We start from the raw sequence: 7,979 nt of genomic DNA on the forward strand, positions 1-7,979 counted from the left end.
CAAAGTTTCTCTGAGCTCTGGGGGATCTCGTGGAAGGTAAGAACTTCACTGTGAACAAAGCTTGTCTTATTATGCAAATGAAGTCTTTCAGGTAATCTCTCAGAGCTGCCCTCAGAAAAACAGACAAAAAATCTGTCTGGGTATGGTGATGATTTTTAGCCTCTTCTCTTCTCTGGTGATAAATCTTCCCTTGTTATTTGATGAGATTCCTAGGCAGTGGGGCAAAGGCAATTGCATTTCTTTGGGGACAAATTTTCCTTTATCAGATTAGGGAATTCCAGAGACAGTCCCTCCGTGTGCTTGGGGGTTGGGCGGTGGGTGAGAAACAAGAGAAGGTTAGAAAATTTTTGGTTCTGAGGCAGCTTCTAAGGCCTCCCAATTTCTTTTAATTTAAAGTGCTTATCATGCCAAATTTCCATATTTTGAAGTATCCTTCTCCGCTGATTCCAATAGTTGAATCAAATCTTCCTAAAACAATGCCATTTCCCTCATTCTCTCCCCTTTTCTTGCAGTGTTGTAATGCTCTGCTAAGATGGTTTCTCTATTGATGTAAGAGTAAATAGCAATTCCTCAGGACCTTTTTCTTAAGAAGTACAAACTCTTTTATTCTTCAAATCAAATCTTTGTTATAAATAATTTAGAGTTTTGTAAATGAGAAAAGATAATTTTTTCAGTGTCTAAACATGGAGTCTTATTTTCCCACATATCAGTTTCCCGACAGCTAACCTGTTGGAAGCACTAACTGTTGAGTGGTTTGCATTCAGTAATGTGACCAGAAGTAACGACTCAAACTCAATAGAGGCCAGAAATGATCAGAGGTTATGATTCCTTGGCAACTGCTTGATGTTCAATATTAAACTGCTTTAGAAAACCTCTCTCTTACTCTTGTGGCAAGATACCACAAGGCATTAAAAAAAATAAAATATAATGAAACAAAAATATCCCCCCTTCGTCATACCTGCTGCCCTGCTACCTGCTCTAAGCGGAAGTCACAATGAAAGGGATTTAAATGAGCTGAGAGACCTCACTGAGCTCCCCTGGGTCAGAGGTGGGTGCATTTTCACACCTACAGGAGCTTGCTTTGCTAATGTACCTGTTCCATAAATTACTCTGGAGGAAATCACTTCATTATTCATGACTTGAACATTCCTGTTGCAAAATGGTGATCTATGTCATGTACTGTTGCATTACCAATTCAATTATTCTTTTGTCATGCAAACTCTCTGAGCTGTGACAAGGGGTGGGGCAGGCTCTTCACAGCTGGCAATCTGTAATGCTGCCTAGGAGTAGATTTCTTCTGGGTGCATTGAGCTGGAGAATTTATGAAAGGACTCTCAGGGGAGATGTCTGCCAATGATGGCAAATTGATGACTATTATCTAAACATTTAGCAGCCCTTCTTCAGTTATAATATGGCCATCTTTAACTTGCCTCCATTAACTGATAGCATTTCATGCTTTTTGAAATGAGTTTGGAGTTACGGGAGAGAACAAAGACTGACTCACAGAATCTACCACAATAATCATTTTCTTTTCATTTTCCATTATCTTAGCATTCTGAATCCAACTTTGCATGAAGAGATACTCCAATGCTTCTGAAGACACCTTTTTTAATTTTGGTAATATAAAGATGGCTTTTAAGGTTATTATCAGCCTGATGGCAAAACAAACATGTGACAAGAGTTAACTTCAGTCACTCCGGTGGTTTGAGCCTTATGGTCCAAGGATTCATTTTGTATAATGGCATGGTACGTCATCTGCTTTGTCTTCTGGACTGATTGAAATGTCAGATGTGTTGGTGGAGTGGACAAAGCCAGTGGAATATATTTTTAATTTTAAGCACAATAGTGCCCTACATACCTGTGAATCAGAGTTATCAAAATTTACTGATGCCTTCATATTAACAGAGAAATAGAACGCTGGATTAGGAACCTCATGACCTGGAAGTGAGGGGGTGGCGGTTAGTGTGATTTATATTCTTTTGCTCTCATGTTTTTCTGCACCCCTCCCCCACTGCTGCCCCTCAGTTTTCTCTTGGGAACTTCACCAGAAGCAGGTTGAGAAGGAGTAAGTCAATCCAGTTCTACAATGAACTTATTTTCAACTGGAAGTTGGGTGGAAATTTTTAACATTAATCACTTTCATCTTTGTGGGAAGTTACATTTAATCCTCAAAATTATCCCATGATATTTCAGTTTTGCTGTTGAGAAGACAGATTTTCAGAGAAATCAATGACTTGCTCAAGATCAACAAATGTGATCTATTTCCAAAACTCTCATCCTCTGTGTACACTCATATAACGCTGAGTACTGTAAATAGATGGACTTTCAAATAAGTGTAAGAGAAGGTCTTTTAAATTTAATACTTGGAACTATTAAACTAAATACTGATTAGTCTATGATTAATGAAGGGGTAGACCCAGTTTTTGTGAGATCTGAAACTTGTTCAAATTTGGGAGCTCCTTTTAACAAAAATAATACCAAAATGATAAACTCAACATTAAATTCAAAGCCTTGAGAAGAGCTCATCAAGTGAGGTGCAATGAAGATTAAGCTGATTAACCGCATGAAAAATCCACCTCTGAAGAAATGTTAAGAAAGAAGATAAAAGTATTTCCAAGTGTATTTCCTGTAGCCCAGGGTTCCTTCACGTAAATCATTGCAGCTGCAGGTTGATGCATCTGTGTGGTTTCGGTCAAGCAGTCAGTTACTCCACAGCCAATCAATGCCGCTTTCTTATGGGTGAACTTAGCTGCATGTCATTGGCGATGTGGAAAGAAGGTACCTGCCTTCAGAAGGAGCCAGTAGTTCTTGCAGAAGGGACCAATGTTCTCAATAGAGGGATTTAAACTTTTTTGAAAGAGTTAATCATCTCTTTACAAACGTATACAGCATTTTAAGATCATATTTCAAAGTAGCTCCAGTTCCTGAAGTTTCATGTATTTTAAAGCAAAACAAACAACAGCAACCAAAACTAATTTCGAATTATTCCAAAACTTCTCCTCTTGGTTAAGATAAGCCCTTTAGATCATGATACAGCTATATGTTTGTGTGCGTGTGTTTGTGTGGGGATGTGTGCGATTGTGTGTGTATACATATATGTATACACACATATATATGGATTTGTATTTATATATATAGACCCACATAAAATATATTCTAGGCACTGAAATCTAATAACTTTGAATCTATTTTACTCTAATTTGTTTAAAAATTCTAGTTTTTTCAAATTTCTGGCTTAGAATAAACAACATTTTAGGAGAGCTTTAATGGTCTTTAAAAAATCAGTTTCCCTTTCTATTGATTGCTCATTGCAGAAGCATTTTACATGATCTCCACATGACCTACTAACTATCAAGGTCAGTAAACTGGTGGCTTGAGGCTTTCTCTGCCTAATAACCATTTTTTTCTTCTATCTCCCAATTTCAAACTCTCCTTTGACTTATTGTTTTCTTAGGGAGGGCATATTCTAAGCCTTGTCTCTATAAAATGAAAGTCTTAGTCTTTTCTTTAACTGAGACTTCACTAATCAGGAGGATAAATTTTGGACAGAAGAGGGTATTCCTGCATGTAGCATGTGGCATACATTTCTACAGCATGTGAAGTTTTTTCTTCTTTATCTGCCTGTGCATGAGAATGACCAGGTTGATCATGCTCATTTTATTTGGAAGACAAAGGAGCAAGGGATTGGTACAACCTTCGAGTGCACTCCCCCTGCAGGTCAACTAGTAGTAACTACCAAATACATGCAACTGCAGTAGGTAGGTACTACGCCACGTACATTACCTATAAATCCATAACGAATCTCAAAGGTAGGAATCATAACTCCCCATTTGACTGAAGCATATTTGACTCTTAATGTTAAGTGCAATATTCCATGGGCCCTCTCCAAGGAATACTTCAGAGTTGAAGCCAGGTCTATTCTGTAACTTTGTCTTAGAATCAGAGCTAAAATGATCAACTTTTCCCATAGAAGTAGAGAGTAGAATAGTGGTAACCAGAGGCTGGAAAAGATAGTGAGGAGGGGTGAATATGAGAGAGGAGAAAGGAAGAAACAGGTCAGGCAGGCAGGTAAGGTGGGTCCTTGGTTGAATTCTTTCAAACAAAAGAAAAGCCTGCAGGCACAGATAAGGGAGCTTGCAGAGGGGGTCTTGCCTAAGACATGGCCACAGTTGCACAGATAAGAGAGGTTACACAGGTGGCTTGCCCAGACATGCCCGCAATGGAAAATTCCATCCCCTGACACATATGCAGTATAAGAGTATAAGGAATAAAGCAATATGCAGTAACTCAAGCTAATGGCCCCCATGTGTATTAAGAGGACAGGGTGGAGCTATCAGAAGTTCACATCTTATGCAAATGAGATGTCCAGGCCTCATCAGTTTCTTATAAAAGCCTTTGCATTGAACAGTAAAAATGGTAACCCTCTTCTGGGTCCCCTCTTAACAGCAGAAAACTTTCTTTTTTTCCTTGTTAAACTTTTACTCCAACCTCGCCCTTGGTGTTTGTGCTCCTTAACTTTCTTGGTCATGAGACAAAGAACTCTGGGTCTAACTCAGGCAATGAGAGACTGCTACATTGTGGAGCATTGGCGAGACTGTAACAATAGGGAGGGGTTGGTTAATGTGTATAAAATTACAGTTAGATAGGAGGAATAGGTTCCTTCTATAGCACAATAGGACGACCATTGTTAACAATAATGTATTATATATTTCAAAATAGCTAGAGGAGAGGATTTTTAATGTCCTAACACAAAGAAATGATAAATGTTTCAGGAGATGGATATCCCAATTACCCTGATTTAATCATTACACAGCATATACATATATCTAAATATCACATGTGCTCCATAAATATGTACAATTATTATATATCAATTAAAAATTAAAACATAGGATTGTCAACCATGTACAGGAGAGAGTCTACTTTGTCCTTCTCTGACTACAGGCCGGAGATAAAAATCTGTTCCATGCTTAAACTAATACAACGTTTTCAAGAAAACTAAGTGAATAACTGTAAAACAAAAGCTTATTAAATTGAACCCACAACAATTAAATGTATCCTTTTAATTTATTTCTTCCTTCATATATATGCCTTGAATTTGAGGCAATTGGCAAAAATCTGCAACTATATTATCTCTTGTAAGCCTTTCACTTTTACTTTTATTTATCTTTTGGTTAGCTTATAAGTCACTCTATGTGCCATCAGTGGCTTCGGTTTTGTTTTTAGGTTTGTTAGAAACACAGGGCATTATATTACAGTGAAAAATGTTTAGGTCTTTTAAAGGCTCCAAGTCCAAAACCTGAAATAAAGAGAGAACATTATTAAAGATATTAGAGTCTTAGCACTTTGGAGTTGTATCTGCAGGAGGTGAGTGTGGTCTCTCTATTCCTTGTGTCTCCATGCAGTACACCTTGGCAGTATGAAGAAAGTCAGCAGGGGCAGGCTGTCGTCTGGAAAATGGGTCAGTGGTCAGCCCAGGCAGCTGAGTCTAACAACTATTTATTTTGTCAACAAGTGACAGTCACTTCCACATAGACTTCCATGTACATGAAATATTATTTGAGATTATAATTCAGGGATACTTTAATGGCCAAAATATGAATAAAAATGAGATTATCTCAAAATTCATCTCAAGGTGTTATTTAAAACTTGTGAAAGAGTTGAAATAAAAGTTCTTTTTTTTCTAATGTGGAAAAAAACCTCTTCATATGCAGAAGCTATTTAAATGAGCAGGTTAATTGGATTTTGAAAAATAGCATTTCTCCAATAAAAAATAATTCACTTAATTTTAAACACATGGAACATTTGTAATAATAACATGAATGGTTTAGGAGATTAAAGAGGAACAAAGAGAAGATAAAGAGACAAAGCTGATGTATGAAGAAAAATAAAGAAACCTGAAGATTAAAAAGTCTTAGGGATATTTGAATCAGTGCAGTGATAAAGCCATTGAAGGAAGACAAATGATGGATAAATTATTACATTTTAACATCCCAAGTTAGAAAAAGTCAAAAGATGACAATGAATGCACATAAGCTATAGAGCAAAATATATGAGGAGTTTTGTTTTATATATTAATGAAACAATAGTTTACTGAATGCTTATGAGCTACCGAGTGCTCTGCTAAGCACTGACAATGTTAAAATAGAATTCCCAGTCTAGAATCTCATGAAGTTTATCATCTAGTGAAGAGACAGATACACAAATAAGCTACTCAAGTACAATAAATAAAATTCTTAAACATATTTAAAGATTGTATCTAAAATTCAATAGGGACATAATCCTAGTTATCAATATGACCAACTTTATAATTTAGCCCTTCTGATAAACTGTTGGGAGACAAATTCTCATTGGATTTCTTGTGTTTCTGACCCAAAGGCATGTTTTCATAGTCAATAGCATTGGAAGCTACAGATAATGTATCCTTCTGGAGAGATGTGGCAACTTTTTCTCCCTGGAGAAGTCCCAGGGTAGTAAAGATAAAGCCCTCTTCTCCCTCTCTCTAGAGACATTTTCTTACAGTTCAGGGTTAGGAGTCAAGGGATGCCTTTTTCTTCTCTAGAGGAGAATTACTGGCATTTTGGGATATTTTGAAATCTTTCTCTCCAGAGGGTAGAATGGGCAGATATTCAAGCAGAACCCACATCACTCAGTCTCCTAACTTGGTGGTTCTTCTCCTGGGTTATATGCACCCCTTTGTGTGCAGCTAACATCCTGCCCTCATTGTGTCATCCTGTGGGCATGAGGACTGGGGAACCTGGGCAAGATGCCACTCTGGCTGCTGTTTCTTGTATGAAAACAAACATGGGCTTCTGTGCTTCTCTGACCCAGGAATCTTGAGGTCTCACACACGTGCCCATGTGCGTGTCAGTATATGTTTATATATGTATATAGATGTTTATATTTGTATCACCAGCCAATCATATTTCAGCTTTACTCATTGTTAAGAGAAGCTAATTGTTATGAGTTAAATTGTGTCTTCCCTGAAATCATAGGCTGAAGTTTTAACCTGCAGTTTCTTAGAATGGGACCCTGTTCGTAAACAGTTATTGCAAATGTAATTAGTTAAGATGAGGTCATTAGGATGTGCTCTAATCCACCATGACTGGTGTTCTTATACAAAGGGGGAAATTTAGACATGGAGACACACAGGCAGGAAAACCATAAGAAGATGGAGACAGACATCAGAGTGCTATGCCTGCAAACCAAGTAATTCCACAGATTGCCAGCAAACCACCAGAACCATCCCCAGTAGAGACACATGAAACAGATCTTCCCTCACAGCCTTCCAAAGGAACCCACCTTAGCCCCTGGAAATGTGAGAACTGTGAGAAAATACATTTCTGTTGTTTAAGCCACCTAGCTTGTGGAACTTTCTATGGCAGTCCCATTTATCAATACCTATTTGACACCATTGTTTTGAGCATATGGAACTCATGTTTTCAAAGGGGGCAATGTGCTCCACTCACTAAATCACTAAAGCGCCTCCTCCCGCCACCAAATGGTGGGCACATCTCATTACATCTGCCTGTGTTCTCGCTGCTCAAAGACTGGAAGTCTTACCCTGTCAGGAGGCTGACTGTCAATACTTGGCTGAATATATGGCAGGTGTCTGGTTGAAAGAAGCCTTAGGGACACTGTTACGCTATTCTTCATGTAATGCAGGTCCTACAGGGTCTGGACTGTATTATCTATGTCTACTTGGTCTGTCTGTATATCTGACTCTCACTCCCTTTTTTCCCACTAGACTCACAGTTAATTCACTGTCGCTGGCAAGAGAGTAAAATGTAAATTGTTTGTGGGAAACATGGAAAAAACCCTGCACCAGGAGGTTATCAGCAGTGAGTCTGAACTCTAGTGTGGCTACTCCATTGCTGGATGGGTAAGTCACTCAGCATATCTAAGCCTCATGGTCCCTGTGCAAAATTGATCAACAATAGCTGTTGAATCCATTTCTAACATTGTGTAGCGACTCAAAA

The 7,979-nt window shown here is 38.2% G+C and overlaps 2 annotated features.

The window, feature by feature from the left end:
- Positions 613-1,539: an enhancer, noted in NCBI's record as "OCT4-NANOG-H3K27ac hESC enhancer chr2:123274025-123274951 (GRCh37/hg19 assembly coordinates)". NCBI's record gives its function as "activates a minimal SCP1, AML or CMV promoter by ChIP-STARR-seq in naive H9 embryonic stem cells {active_cell/tissue: H9 hESC(naive)}" and the evidence as "EXISTENCE:reporter gene assay evidence [ECO:0000049][PMID:30033119]".
- Positions 3,948-4,448: an enhancer, noted in NCBI's record as "H3K27ac hESC enhancer chr2:123277360-123277860 (GRCh37/hg19 assembly coordinates)". NCBI's record gives its function as "activates a minimal SCP1, AML or CMV promoter by ChIP-STARR-seq in primed H9 embryonic stem cells {active_cell/tissue: H9 hESC(primed)}" and the evidence as "EXISTENCE:reporter gene assay evidence [ECO:0000049][PMID:30033119]".

This window comes from Homo sapiens, chromosome 2 (assembly GCF_000001405.40).
Source record: "Homo sapiens chromosome 2, GRCh38.p14 Primary Assembly".
NCBI classification, from domain to species: Eukaryota; Metazoa; Chordata; class Mammalia; order Primates; family Hominidae; genus Homo; species Homo sapiens.